Below are 15299 nucleotides of genomic sequence, written 5' to 3' on the forward strand. Positions count from 1 at the left end.
CTGGTATAACCAGGGTCTACTCTGATAGGTCCATTTCCAAGACAAACGAGTTGTTAAATATTCAGAATATCTCCCTGCCCACATGCACATTGGAAAGCATCGCATATTCCACAAAAGCACTGTGTGCTCCAGGTTGTGTCTAAAATCAAGGTAAATGGACACTGATTTCTGCTTGGAAGAGACCAGAGGGCCCCCTGGGTTGGGAGGACATCCCTTCCCCACCCCAAGGCTGGAGGAAGCTTGGCACTCCATTGCGGGGGACCTGGGCCCAGGGGAGAGGCTTGCTCACCCCAGTGGTGTGCAGCTTCATCTTGAACTTCTCCAGGTACAGCCACTGCTTGGCCTCATTGGGATCCAGGTCATGGTAAAAGTCCCTGGCGGCATACCCGAAGCTGTGGAACTTCCTCTCGGGAGTCAGCAAGATGGTGGTTGGAGTCTTCTGATTGGACACACCAGGGTCACCTCCCTCCCATCGCCTGCCACCAAGGGAAGCAGAAGTTATGGGGCCTTCTTTCAAAATCCCAATTCAGGCAGCACAGATTTGAACACCTACTGTATGCATGAGTGTCAGTAATGTGGGTGCCCAGAGGCACTCTGCTTCAGCTGGATGAGCAGCTACTAGAGACACAACTTCAGTTAAAAAGGAGATGAACTGGGCAAGTGCAAAGTTCTTGGTCAATAACAAGCTCTGCCTTAGTCTTTCATTCCATGTTTACTGAGCATCTACTCTAAGCATCTACATGTTTGCCAGGTGCTGGCATGAAACTTTTATGTCTGTGTCTTCAAATAATTCACAATCTGCTAGGCAATGTATTTTTTATTTGCAAGCACTCAATAGCAGATATACTGCTAGCTTGAATCCTGTCTGAAACAAGGTAGGTATAGACAAATGCATAATTACCTGCCTTATGAGATGCAAATGAGATGCCCAAGGTGCCAGCTGGTAGGGCAGAGGAAAGAATGCAGGATTCGGGGGAGAACTGAAGAAGAGACAGACAACTGGATCTCAAAGGAGGGAAGGATACTCCAGGCTGCTCAGAGGTGGGCCAGCCGGGGCATTCGTGGAGAATGTGAAGTGACTGCGTTGGTTGGAGAGAGTATGTGAGTGGGAAGAGTGACTGTGAAAATGGGAAGGGTGAGAAACACGATTGGGAAAGCAGCTGGAATCAGGCTGAGGAGAACCCTGGGGACTTAGACATTTACTCTGTGAATAATGGGAAGCCACTAAAGGTCTTAGAGCAGGGGTATGACAGAATCAGAGCTGCTGTTCATAAGGGCAAACTGGGCTAAATGGAGGGAAAGGGAAGCCAGGAGCCTCAGACCTATCCTGGAGCAGAGGTGAAAGAACCATAGAAACAGATCTCAGCACTCTGGGGGGCCAAGGTGGGAGGATTGCAGTGAGCTATGATCGCATCACTGCACTCCAGCCTGGGCAACACAGCAAGACCCTATCTCTAAAAAGAAATGACAGAGAGAGAGAGAGAGAGAGAGAGGCTGCAGTGAGAGCAAGGGAAGGGGGAAGGGGAAGACAGGAAACTCAATGTATTCGCTCACCTTTGGGGCCACTGCAGAGAGGCCAGGGCCACCAAGAGGCCAAGCTGTTCCCTGCCCAACCAGGTCCTGGCTCCTGGCCTGCCGCTGGCCATGTGACCCCATGCACAGCCCGTGCGCCCTCAGGTGGGGACGCAGTGCAGGAGGGAAAATGAGCCACTTTCCTCACCCACTGGAGAGGTGGCCACGCTCCCAGCTGATCCCGGACCTGCTCCCGACCCCATGACATTAAGCATCAGTAGGACCATCTCAGTCCAGATGGAGCTCCGGCCTCCACTGATATTTGCTGCTCAAATGGGTCTGGAATCATCCCTGGTCAATTTCCTTGTCAAGCTCCATCAGGATGCTGCTCCTACCCCAGCAGCCAAAGTCCCCGAGGTGACCGCACTGAGACACAGGGATGGCCCCGATGCCAGGCAGCTGCTCCACACACTGCCCTTCACAAATGGAATTGTCATTAACAGTGACATTATCAGTAGAGAATGACCCCATGAGCTTTTTCCCTTCAAATTTTTATTCCTTCATTCCCACTTAGTACAAAAAAAAGTTAACTTTCTCACTTATAACTTGTCATATTAGCATCATTATGCTAATATGTTCTGATTGAAATAAAATTCAGGTAGAACCAACCAACCTCCCTCCAAAATGTCGACCATTACTAAGGTATCTCCTCTAGAGGCCCTGAACTATGGTGGTGCTTCATAAGTACCCCTCCCCAAGCAAGTTCAAAGTTATTTCCACTCCTTCTTTTCTGTTTTCACTGCATGACTATTCTGTGGAAATAACATTTCTTAGAACAACTACATAGAAGCTGATAAACATTGATTCTAGCCTTTAATGGCATATTCTTTTCCACTGGGATTTTTCATCTTGGGGGTCAGTGGTGGCAGCACAGACCCTCACAGCATCTGTCTGGCTAAATGGAAAGAGATTCCTGGTGGCAACTGAACACCAAGGGCGATGCTGTCAACAGAGTTGGCTATAGAACCGGCTTTTCATCATTTCCTGATGACATGACACCCAGGAGTGTCTGTACCCTCTTAGGACAAGAGCTTCAGGCTGAGCCACATCTGGTTTTCAAGAGGAAAGGTGAGACTTAAACCAAGATTGGGGTGGGAGTCACTTTTATTATGACTTGTGCTTTACACAACCCTTTATAAAAATTCCTAAAATACAAACATTAGCAGGGTGTGGTGGTATGCACCTGTAGTCTCAGCCACTTGGGAGGCTAAGGCAGGAGGATCACTTCAGCCCAGGAGTTTGAGGCTGCAGAGAGCCATGATCACACCACTGCATTCCAGCCTGGGCAAAGGAACAAGAGCCTGTCTCTTAAAAAAAAAAAAATAACAACAACAACAAAACTAAAAAATATTAATCTAGGAGCAATACTAAATTCCACAATTACTCAGTTGAAGAAACTGCAAAGCCAATTACAATGTATCTTCAGAGTCATCCCTTGGAATTGAAAATTGGGATGATAAATTCTGGGCTTCCAAAGATTCGAGGAGTCATACCCTGCAAGAAGATCATGGATCAAGACTGGGATCCCATGGATGGGTGGCACCCGGGGCCTGCAGGGTGCTGGGTGTGCGGGGAAGGGAAGGGGGCATCCCAGCACAGAGTGCATCCCAGGAGGCCCAGGGCAACTTTGCCTATGGGGCCACTTGGCTGAGATTCCCCTCATGCTGCCTTCTCTCTGGCAGGTGCTTTTTGCCTCTGGCTACCAACACCCCAGCACTTCTCTTCACTTGAAAGGGCCAGCACCTGGAGAGGATGTGGAGAAATAGGAACACTTTTACACTGTTGGTGGGACTGTAAACTCGTTCAACCATTGTGGAAGTCAGTGTGGCGATTCCTCAGGGATCTAGAACTAGAAATGCCATTTGACCCAGCCATCCCATTACTGGGTATACCCAAAGGATTATAAATCATGCTGCTGTAAAGACACATGCACACGTATGTTTATAGCGGCACTATTCACAATAGCAAAGACTTGGAACCAATGTAAATGTCCAACAACGGTAGACTAGATTAAGAAAATGTGGCACATATACACCATGGAATACTATGCAGCCATAAAAAATGATGAGTTCATGTCCTTTGTAGGGACATGGATGAAACTGGAAACCATCATTCTCAGCAAACTATCGCAAGGACAAAAAACCAAACACCGCATGTTCTCACTCATAGGTGGGAATTGAACAATGAGAACACATGGACACAGGAAGGGGAACATCACACACCAGGGACTGTTGTGGGGTGGGGGGAGTGGGGAGGGATAGCATTAGGAGATATACCTAATGCTAAATGACGAGTTAATGGGTGCAGCACACCAACATGGCACATGTATACATATGTAACAAACCTGCACGTTGTGCACATGTACCCTAAAACTTAAAGTATAATAATAACAAAATTTAAAAAAAATAAAAGAAAGGGCCAGCACCTTCCCTGCTTTCATTTTACTACACAGTAAGCACTTAATGGACAATCTCCTTTCATTTGCACACACACATTGTGAGGGAGGTATTGTCAGGATTCCCATTTCACAGATGAGGAAACTGGGGTTTAGCAGGTTCAGCAATTGCCTAAAGTCACACAGTAAGTGGCCAAGCTGGCACCTGGATCCCTCCATCACAGACACTACAGATCTGCGCCTCTCACCCAGGCCACAAGCTGGATTCACCCGGGCCAGGCTTCAAACATACTGCCCAGGCCCCTCCCCAGACCAACTAAATCAGAATCAAACCAACGTCTTTTCAAACCAGGAGCCTAGAGCCCAGAGATCAGAAATGGCTTGTCCCCAGTGGCATGGTGAGCTTGAGCCAAGCTGGAACAGAATCCAGGGCCGTCTTCGTAAGTGCCAATCACTGGCTCATTGCCCGGAGTCTCCACAGGTGCAGTGGTTGGCACCAGCCACGTGGCCCTCCCACCCACAGCACTCACCTCATCACATGGATGCATTCCGGCTCCTTGGTGAAGCTGTAGGCATAGCCACTGGATGTGGTCCCAAAGTCGACGGCCACCACCACGAGAAATGACTGCTGTTCTGAGACGTTGGAGTCAGTGTCGTTCTGCAGATATACAGTGAGGCATGGGGGGTGTGGAGGGGTGGGCCTGGCTTTCAGGAAGACACCCCTGGGGGGTCTCACCTTGCCTAGCTGTGAACCCCCTGCAGACAGAAAGACATTCTATATTCCAGCTCAAGTCTACCACCTGGGGAGAAGGCAGCCCAGCCTGGGCCCCCGCCTGAATGGCTCAGGGAGAAATGGGGGCATCCCTGAGTGGAGGGCCAGGCTGACTGGACAAAGCCTGCAGCTTGCCCACTCCTCTCTATAGACCGTGCCCGCACACGGCTAGTTACAGAAATTCTATCATCAGGGCTGGTCGCCCAGTAGTTCCTGAGCAGATACAATCTTCTTCCAAGCCCTGCTGCCTTCCGCAAGACCCTGTGCAGACCTCTGGCCACTGCCAGGAGCATTTCGCCAGCTGTGCCCTCTGTACACCCAGGTGACTGCTCCATCTGTGCTGGCATTTCATGCATGTGAGCAGGGCTGGGCATCCCAGGACCGTGTCCAATCCCACCAGGCCAGCCACATGACCCACTGTGACTGTCAGGGCCCAGGGCCTTGCCTCATCTAGATCACTTGGTCAGGCTATTTCAGGTTTCCAAGCCTTTCTCTCTCTCCTTTTTTTTTTTTTTTTTTTTGAGACGGAGTCTCGCTCTGTCGCCCAGGCTGGAGCGCAGTGGCCCAATCTCGGCTCACTGCAAGCTCTGCCTCCCGGGTTCACGCCCTTCTCCGCCTCAGCCTCCCGAGTAGCTGGGACTATAGGCACCCGCCACCACACCCGGCTAATTTCTTGTATTTTTTAGTAGAGACTGGGTTTCACGGTGTTAGCCAGGATGGTCTCGATCTCCTGACCTCGTGATCTGCCCACCTCAGCCTCCCAAAGTGCTGGGATCATAGGCGTGAGCCACCACGCCTGGCCTCTTTTTTTTTTTTTAAGCAGTTTACACTTTTTTTTTAACTCCCACAGAACTCCAAATTATAAAACCAACAAATGTTGGAGGGGAGGGGTGAGAATGCCACCCGCCTGGCCTCTCCTCACACCGCTCCCCTCCCTCACAGCCCTGAAGCTCTTACAGGACAACTTCAGGGTGCAAAGCTTGAAAACCACAGAACCTGGCCCTAGGGAACCAACCCTCCCAGTTTGCCCAGGAATAAAGGAGTCCCCAGGGTGCAGGACTTGCAGTGTAAAGGCCGGACAGTTCCAGGAAACCAGACAGGCTGGCATCCCTGCCTAGCAGTGACTCCGCAGTTCTCCCTGGGTCTTCTTTGTGCGTCTGCACAGCTCATGCAAAGCTGCCCTGTCTTCCGGGCACTCACTCAGGTTGGCTGCCTGTGCATCTACGTGCACACCCCTCTAAACGGCCGCCCCCTAACATCCATCTTTCCTCATACAGGGCAGGGTGGGAGCAACAGCCCCATCTCTAGCCCCACTCAATGCATATGAAGCCCTGCTCAGGGCTTCTCTACCAGGCAAGCTGTTCCAGAAGCGATTATACTGCTAGGGTCTTTTCGATACTGCAGACAACCGCAGTCAACAGAGTCCATGTATTCACCGATTCACTAGCCCAGAGTCAGCGGCTTCCTCTCAAGAGGACACCTCACAGGCTCTGACCCTGAATCTTTAAAGGGCTGCTCCCATCTCACCTTCTTCTGTGACCCACCCAGGCCCCTGCTCCAGAAGCACTAGCCACAGCACAGAAAGCCTTCCCAGGCTCGGAGTGGGGGAAGGGGCTTGGCAGGGCTCCTTTGGCCAGGACCAGGTCAACTTAATCTCCAACCAGTGAATGTGAGGGGCTGTCCAGCAGCCTGAACTGTGAGATCAGACCCAGAATGCAAAGGAAGTCAGTACGCACGTGTGCTCATGCGCACCCATGCGCGCACACACACACACACACACACACACACACACACACACACTTCTTACCACAATATGGGAGGGGGACAGAGGCGTTATTCCTGTGTCCCCAAGACTCCGGGCTGGAGATGAATATGCAGATGTGGGAGCCGTTTCTGAAAGGAAAAACAAAGCCGCCTCCTTAGAAGTGGCATGGACTGACCCAGGGGGAAGAAATGAGGGCTGCATGGCCTTAACTCCTCCAGGAACTGCGGCCTCTGCAAAGCCAGCTCACGAAATGGGCAAGGCCCAGCCCCAGCCAGGAAGGCAGGAACATCCGTTCCAGCACCTCTTTGCATTTGGTATTTAGAATTCGACCAAATGAGATGCTCCTTTCCTCCCAGTCGCCACCAGGCCTCTCACTCTGTGCCACTCAACCCAGCTTAGTTGGAGATGCTGGTCAGTCCCCGAAAGCTCCGCTCCTGGCTGTGTTGTCTGTGGAGCCAGAGGCCAGGCTCCATGATGGACTAGCAGGACCTGTAGCCACCTGAAATTATGTCAAATTTTTGTGTGCATTTTCTTGGAAGAGCATCTACAGCCCTCGGGTTCCCAAAGGGGTGAGGGGTACCTCCCCCAAGGAAGAGCAACCCCTATCCTAGGAATGTAGGATGTGATGAAGCTTCAGAAAGAGCGTCCTTGCCTAGCAGATGCACCAGCTCCTCCCTCCCCCTGCCAGGGCATGTGAATTCATCTCTCTTCAGTGATACTGAAGGTTTGGGACCTTTTTCAATCATAAAAACCACAGCAAAAAGGCAGACAGATCAGCATTTCTAGCCCCTGCAGATGGGACCCAACAGCCACGAGGTCAAACAGGCGAAGGGCCAGCAGCTAAGCAGCAGGAACACCATTTTGTCTGTTCCCCTGCACTCACCATCATTCAGGCCTAGCATTTTTCTGAAGTCTTCCCAGAGCCAGTGGCTCTGCCCCAGGAATGGGCCCCCCGGGAGAAAAAACACTCTCCCTGGCCGGCATTGGAACGCGCTACAGTGCTCTCCCTGCCTGCTGCCTAGGGCTGGCAGGGCACAGAGAAGCTGAGTGAAGACTGCGTGCTCCCACCGCAGAGACGAAGGCCGGGCACTGGGCACGTGCAACGACCCAGCACCACCCTCGGTGCTCTGCACATCCTGCTCCGTTTAGTACATACGTACTGAAACCTGCTAGGAAGAAGTGGGTAATTTTCCAAGGCAATACTTGTGGTCAAGGAAACCAGAAGGTTTGAGGTGTCTGAGAAAAGCCTGTCTGCTTCTAGGGGAGCAGGTGGAATGGTTCCATCTGCCTCTTCTGCTAAATCACTTTGGGTTAATCCCAGGCTCTTGCTGATTACTTTTTCTACTTGATGAGGACTCAGGCAGCATCATTACAGTGGGCACCAAACAGGCTGTAGGAATGAAATGAATCATGCAAGAGGGAATGTGAAGCCTCAAATCTGCACAGCCACCTCCCACTCTCTGCAAGCTCACAGCCTCTCTCCGCCTGATGAGGCTCAGTTCCTATCTTGGGGAGGGAGAGGCACAGTCCAGTAATTACAGAGGCAAAAATCCAACTCGCTGGGTAAAGGACTTGAATAGACATTTCTCCAAAGAAAATACACAAAAGATATATCAACAAGTATATGAAAAGATGTTCAACATCATTAGTCTGTAGAGAAATGCTAATCAAAACCAGTGAGATATGGCTTCACACTGACTAGGATGGCTACAGTTTTTTAAGAAAGGAAAATAACAAGTGTGTCAAGGATGTGAAGAAATTGGAATCCTTGAGCATTGCTAGTGGGAATATAAAACGGGACAACTGCTGTGGAAAAGAGTTTGGCAGTTCCTCAAAAAGTCAAGTACAGAATTACCATATGACCAGCAATTCCACTCCTAGGTATCTACCCAAAAAACTGAAAACAGGGACTCAAGGAGATACTTATATGCAAATGTTCATGCAGCATTATTCACAATAACAGAAAGGTGGAAACACTTCCAGTGTCCAACAACAGATGAAGGGATAGGCTGGGCGCGGTGGCTCACGCCTATAATCCCAGCACTTTGGGAGGCCAAGGTGGGCAGATCACTTGAGGTCAGGAGCTGAAGACCAGCCTTGCCAACATGGTGAAACTCCATCTCTACTTAAAAATACAAAAATTAGCCAGGCGTGGTGGCACATGCCTGTAGTCCCAGCTACTCGGGAGGCTGAGACAGGAGAATCATTTGAACCCAGGAGGCGGAGGGTGCAGTGAGCCGAGATTGTGCCACTGCACTCCAGCCTGGTGACAGAGCAAGACTCCATCTCAAAAAAAAAAAAAAAAAAGATGAAGGGATAAACCAAATGTGGTATATCCATACAACAGAATAGTATTTCATTGTAAAAAGGAAGAACATTCTTATACATGCTATAACATAGGTGAACCTAGAAAATATGCTAAGTAAAATACATGGATGCAAAAGGACAAATATTGTATCATTCCACTTATAGGAAATCTCCAGAATAGGCAAATTCACAGAGACAGAAAGTAGATGAGAGGTGACCAGGGGTAAGAGGAAGGGAGAAATGGAGAGTTCTTGCTTAATGAGTACAGAATTTCTCTTTGGGGTAGTGAAAAATTTTGGAAATAGATAGTGGTGATGGTTGCACAACATTGTGAATATAATTCATGCCACTGAATCATACACTTAAAATGGTTTAAGTGGCAAATTTTATGTTATACATACTTTTTAAAAAAACTTTATTGAAAAGTTTAAATCAACTTGCTCATCTGGGAGGGGAAGCTATTTCTGATTTCTATTAGCACCCACGACTAACAGAATTGCTATTAGCCGTGGGCGCTAATTGCTCTTGAAAAGAGAATGGAGAAGTCAGCTCAGTTCCTAGACCAGCCTGCTGATCTCCACCATCTTTGCTAATCTCCCAGCACAAGGGAACCCCTTCCATGAATGCAGGGGGAACTCTGCCTCCCCACTAGGGGTTCCAGCCAGATGGTCCTTCCACCTGTTGGTGAGAGGTCCTCCCTGCCCACAGCCCTTGGGCAGCCTGCGGAGAAATGCCATCAGCACCAGAAGCCACCCTCTCCACCTGCTACCTGGAAGGCCTGCGCCATGTGTCCACATTTGCACAGACGGTCCTGAAAGAAACCAAATGTCTAATTGCCCAGAAAATCTGGTGTTGGCAATTAGCAAACAAGCTATTATCTGCAGACAAACTATCCACCCCGCTGCTGCTTGGTCCTAATTATCCCATCACTCAGCCCTTCTCAGAGCCCTGGGTCTTCTCACTGATTTGCAAAATAGCCAAGGTTGAGCCACACATGGAACACATGTCTTGGGTCCCCAGGGGACTCTAGGATACTTTGAGGGCAAGAAGCAAGGATTTTTTGGTTCTGCTGTACCTCCCTTCAACCCCACGGCAACTGGGCCAATATTAAACAAATCATTTGACTTGCTGATCACTCAGCCAGGCCTAGAGGCAGCCGAACTTCATGGACTTTTTCCATCAGAAGTTAAAATTCAGCTACACTGTGCAATGATTGAAAACTGATCTGCACAGAAGGTATGGAGGGGTAACATTTTCAGAGATACCTGCACATGGTGCACACCCACATCTATATATCTGTATATTCCAAATCAAAGATAATTCACCAGCGAATGTCCATCAGTACAGCACAGAAATATACACAGCCAGTAGAGACATGCTACTGTTTCTCTACTTCACTACTTAGGATGTCAAAATGATGCTCAAAAATTCTCAGGGGAAAAAAAACGGAAAAGCCTATCTCACCCCCTGAGGAGAATGGGGAGTTTAATTCTGATGTGTCCCAACAAGGCTTGAGATCTTTCATTCAGTAGGTAAATGATCAGAAATAAAATACAGAATATTATCTATTAATCTATGAATATCTGACAGATATAAGCTAATGGACAACAGGAGAGAATTGATGTATGGAATGCCCTATACATACCAAGTGTAGGCTGTGTGTCCTGGCTGTCAATTATACAGAGGCCATTATCTATAGTAAGGAATCCCAAATGCCATTAAGTGTGGCCCTGCCTCCACTGCTTCTATAAAGCTAATACAACAACATCTCCCTCGGGACTACTCTCACCCAGGGGATAGTCCAGTTCAGTCCCCACAGGTTGACTTGGACACACTAGGAACAGAAGAGAAAGGCTAAGTCAACACCTCGACACAAATAGAGTTTCCTATAGTCGAGGCTTGAGAGAAAGAAAGGAAGCTGAAGAAAAGAAAATCCAGACCCTTCTGTGGAGGTAGAGAAGGAAGATTGCTAAAAGACAGGTTAAAGAAAATGCTCTATCAAGAAATGTGATCAAGGACAGAGCTAAAGGAACTAGGAGTTTTAAGAAATACCTACAGCACCGTTCCAAGTAGATTAAATAAAGGCCTACTCAAAGCATCTTCCACTTCAAGCACTAAGTTACCCTGAAATCCCATAATACAGAGAGAGTCAATGTTTTCACATCAAGGAATCAGAGAAACACTGACTCTTTCTTTTTTTTTCTTTTTTTTTTTTTTCGAGACTGAGTCTCGCTCTGTCGCCCAGGCTGAGTGCAGTGGTGCGATCTCGGCTCACTGCAAGCTCCACCTCCCAGGTTCACGACATTCTCCTGCCTCAGCCTCCCGAGTAGCTGGGACTACAGGCGCCTGCCAACGCGCCCAGCTAATGTTTTTTTTTTTTAAATTTTTAAATTTTTTTATTTTTAGTAGAGACAGGATTTCACTGTGTTAGCCAGGATGGTCTCGATCTCCTGACCTTGTGATCCGCTGGCCTCGGCCTCCCAAACTGCTGGGATTACAGGCGTGAGCCACTGTGCCCGGCCAACACTGACCCTTTCAAGAATGCAAACTACTAGCCACAAAACTATGGTTAAGCGGAAGGGGAAGAGACCTTTCTGGGGAACAGACCTTTCTGGGAAACAAACAGAAGAGCTTTCTGGGGAACAAACAAAAATTAATCATCATGTCTCCTTTGCTATTAGCTACGTGTTAGATAATTTAACATCACTTCAGTCTTGCAGAGCTAGTGAGCAGAAAATCTTTTTTAACTTTAGTGAACATAAAAATAAGGTGATGAGGGTGGTTATAGATTAACTCACAATCCTGGAACACCCCACCCCAACACATTAAACAATTTTTGCCAGAAAGAGGGGTATATAAAGAAATGAAAATATTTTTGCAGCAATGTAGAGGACAAATAAATAAAAGTATCAAATCCTGGCCAACAAGTCTCCTGCCCCAGGATTTCTTACAACCCCAAACCAGGCAATTGAGGAGGAACTAGTTTAGTTTGTTAGGTTAATCCTCATCGCTGGTCTTATTGGTTTAAGGATTAAAATGCAGGCTTCATCTGGGTTCCTGCTGTAAAATGCAACACATATAAAATTCAGACACAATTTTATGTGGTCCCAGCTCTAATGGCTTTAATCAAAGCAGATGTTCTTAAAATAAAAAATAGTCTTGATAAGAGAACCTCAAAGAGAGCCATAATTCATGAACTTGCTTGCTGTTCTCCTCTGCCAAAGTCATTAGTCAGCAAATGGCCGTGAGCAGAATCACAGACTCTCTGAGATACATAAAATCAATTCTGCTCCATAAATACATGTTTAAAGATGAAGACAGAACCATAGGGCTGACTTTATTCTACAAGGTTCTAGGCTCCGAGGAAATGTGACAGGTGGTCTCAACAATAGTGACATTCTAGTTTCTCTAAACAGTCCTTCTTGTTAGCTTTCAGATTTACGTATCCATCAAATAAATGCCCAATTTGAAAAGGAGTTTTAAGGTCTGGTACTTATGATTTTAAAAAATGCAATATATATATATATATATATATATATATATATATTTGCATTTCTTTTTCCCTGCTGGCTGTCAGATGTCAGGCCTTTGCTAACGATTGCCTAAAATCAGGCTATTTAAAAAAAAAAAACCTCTCTCTCTTTCTCTCCTTATATGCCTGCCTGCAGTGTCATCTTTGAAAACTGATCAGCTCAAGGTCATATGTAGGTTACTGGCAAACATCTTTTCAGAAGGAAAATAAAAAATCTTTTATTACCCTATAACAGGCTTCATGGCTAGCTGAACTAATGCATTATTACTGTAAGCTGAACTTCCATTTCAGTAAATAATTTATGGGCTGTTTTTAATCACTATGGTGGATGTCCAGAGTAAATGGAAATTTTATTGGCATGAACCAGGAGACCCTCTCACTACAAAGAACACTGAGTGTAAAATAACCACTCTGCAAATGCTAAATAATAATTATGGAAATGAGCATTTACCATGGCAGAGACAGTAGCATCAAGCCCAGGCCAAGTTGGGGGCAGCATCAGGCCCATCCTGACACGGGGTAGCAACTTCTTGTTACCCCTCCTACCTCCCTGAATAGTCCAAGAGATGAAATGTCGCAGGGAGAGCGAACTGGGGCAGCTGAGTTTCCCAAGACAGGAAAAGCCCCGAGTCCCTGCAATCCCAAACTGTCAACAGGGGTGGTTCACAGTCTCTCTCCTAACTGCAGGTTCATGCATTGGTCCGTGGGCCTCCAATTGTGTCTATACATGTCCAGGCAACTGCTGGGAGAGGTGAAGACACACTTGCTTGACCAACAGTTTTACTACTAATTTTCATGAATTACACTCCTCAACCTTACAGCCCTTCCCTCCAGCATCCAGCATTTGAAGAGGCTCTACCAGATCACCCTACACATGGTACTAAGATGTTTCTGTCCTCCTGGCTTCTCTCCCATGGACTCTGCTTGTTGGGGTAGGGCCAAGTCTTACTTCATCTCTAATTCCTTAGCTCTTGACATGTCACAAGCACTCAATGTTGGATGGATGGATGGATGGATAGATGGATGGATGGATGGATGGGTGGGTGGATGGTGGGTGGATGGATGGATAGGTGGGTGGGTGGGTGAGTGGATGGATGGACGGATGGATGGGTTGGTAAGTGGATAGATGGATGGATGGATAGATGAGTGGATGGATGGATGAATGGATGGACTTTTTATGTGTACCCAAAAGTGGACTCAGTGACTATCCACAGACTAAGAGTGTCAGGGAGTTCTTTCCCAACTGAGGCATCAACTCTCTTGAGTTGGATATTAGTAACATACATGCTATGCTGAGTGACCTCCAACAATGTGGGATCAGCTCTCAAACCACCCAGGTCTGCCTCTCTCCTCAGATACCCCTTTTGCCAGTAAAACCACCACTGCTCCCAGATGGAAGAGTCCCTAGACTTCCTCCTTTCTCATTCTACCCCCAAGCCCTATCACTCCTTCTAATTAGCATCTCTTGCATTCGCTGGCTCCTCTGCTAAGTCACCACTACAGCCTTGGTCCAGATCCTCCTGAACTTTCAGTCTCCCTGTCCTGGGCCTGCCCCCTCCCCCAGACACACTCACCCTGCAGTTAAAGCCATGACTGCAGATACAGAGAAAGCCATCTGGTCAAAATCAAGGTCTGCTCACCTAACTCAACCTTGTCAGGGTCTTCCCCTGATGCCCATTTCCCATGCAATAAAGTCCAGCACACTACTGACCCCAGGCTCTTCTAAGTCCACCCCACCTTCCTCTGCAGTCTCTTCTCTCTCTACTGCCCCACATCCCTGGCCATACCAAACCTATCCACAGGCCTTGGAACATCTGTGCTTGATTCAGCCTCTGGGCACTGCACATGCTGTTCCCCTGCCTAGCGTGCATCCTGCTTCTACAGCAGGCAAATTCTGCATCACCCTTCAGGGACCTCCACCTCTAAAAGTCAGCCTCCTCTTTTAAGAGAGAAGAGCCTTCTCAGCTCCCCCGGTGCAGATGAGAGAAGAACTTGTGCATCAGTTCCTGGTGATCAACTGGAAAACCCAGATGGGGGAAACTCGACAAGAGAGACAGGTTTCTCCTAAAGATAATCACAAGGAAAATCTACAGGAAAGGAGGGCAAACCTATGGACTAGAAGGTCTCAGCTCTGCTGTGCATCAGAACCCCCGAGGCTTGTTAAAACACAGATTAATGGTCTCACCCCCAGAGTTTCTCATCCAGTAGGTCTGAGGCTGGCTGACAATTTGCACTGATAATTTCCCAGGCTATCCTGACTGCCCCGGAGACCAACTGCGACAGCTTAGAAGAGACTTAAAACACACATCAACTCCAGTAAATGCAGTGGATGGACCTTTAGTGGATCCTAACTCAAACAATCCAAAAATGTTACATTTATGAGCCAATTAGAAACGTAAATGCTGACCAGACATTGGTAATGCTAAGGGATTATTATTAATAGTACAGTTACATAATTTTTAAAAGAGCCCTTGTCCTCTAGGGATACATTCTCAAATGTACAGACAAAACAATAGCATTTCTGGGATTTGTACCAGAATAGCAGGAGAGGGAAGGGGCAGGGATTAAACAAGGTTGGCCACAAGTTGATAATGACTAAAACTGGTGACAGATTCATGAGGCTTCAGTATAATATTTGCTCTGCTTTTGTATGTTTAAAACTTTCCATAATAAAATAATTGTGATTTGAATGTGCCAGTTACATGGAAGCTCCCGGACGGCAGGTCAATGTTTTTCTTCCGCTGTCCATCAGAGCACCTGGCCCATACATGGTAGGTGCTCCACACATATTTGGCAAATGAATGAACAAACCAATAAGGATACGAGTTCACTGAAACCTACAAATGTGGACTCTGAAAGCTTGGGAAGGTTTTGGACCTGGGTCTCAGGGTGGGTGAAGGGCTCCCAAACATCAGGCTTCTCTGGGGCTGAGGCTGGTCGGCCCAGTAGACCAAAT

The 15299-nt window shown here is 47.6% G+C and overlaps 1 protein-coding gene across 6 annotated transcripts in view; it reads right to left on the reverse strand.

Annotated features, from left to right (window-relative positions):
• The window catches only part of HSPA12A (heat shock protein family A (Hsp70) member 12A), a 179556-nt gene that overhangs the window by 29462 nt on the left and 134795 nt on the right, over positions 1 to 15299 (reverse strand). For 5 of the 6 annotated variants that reach the window (XM_005269673.6, NM_001330164.2, XM_011539579.3 and 2 more), the window contains 3 exons: positions 6547 to 6632; positions 4498 to 4625; positions 290 to 476 (listed from right to left, as the gene is read on the reverse strand). In XM_005269673.6, coding sequence (XP_005269730.1) covers positions 290 to 476; positions 4498 to 4625; positions 6547 to 6632 — 401 coding nt within the window. Of the gene's footprint in view, positions 1 to 289; positions 477 to 4497; positions 4626 to 6546; positions 6633 to 15299 lie in introns of those variants that run through there. The other variant, XM_047424972.1, reaches the window with a different exon arrangement.

Source organism: Homo sapiens, chromosome 10 (genome assembly GCF_000001405.40).
Source record: "Homo sapiens chromosome 10, GRCh38.p14 Primary Assembly".
NCBI classification, from domain to species: Eukaryota; Metazoa; Chordata; class Mammalia; order Primates; family Hominidae; genus Homo; species Homo sapiens.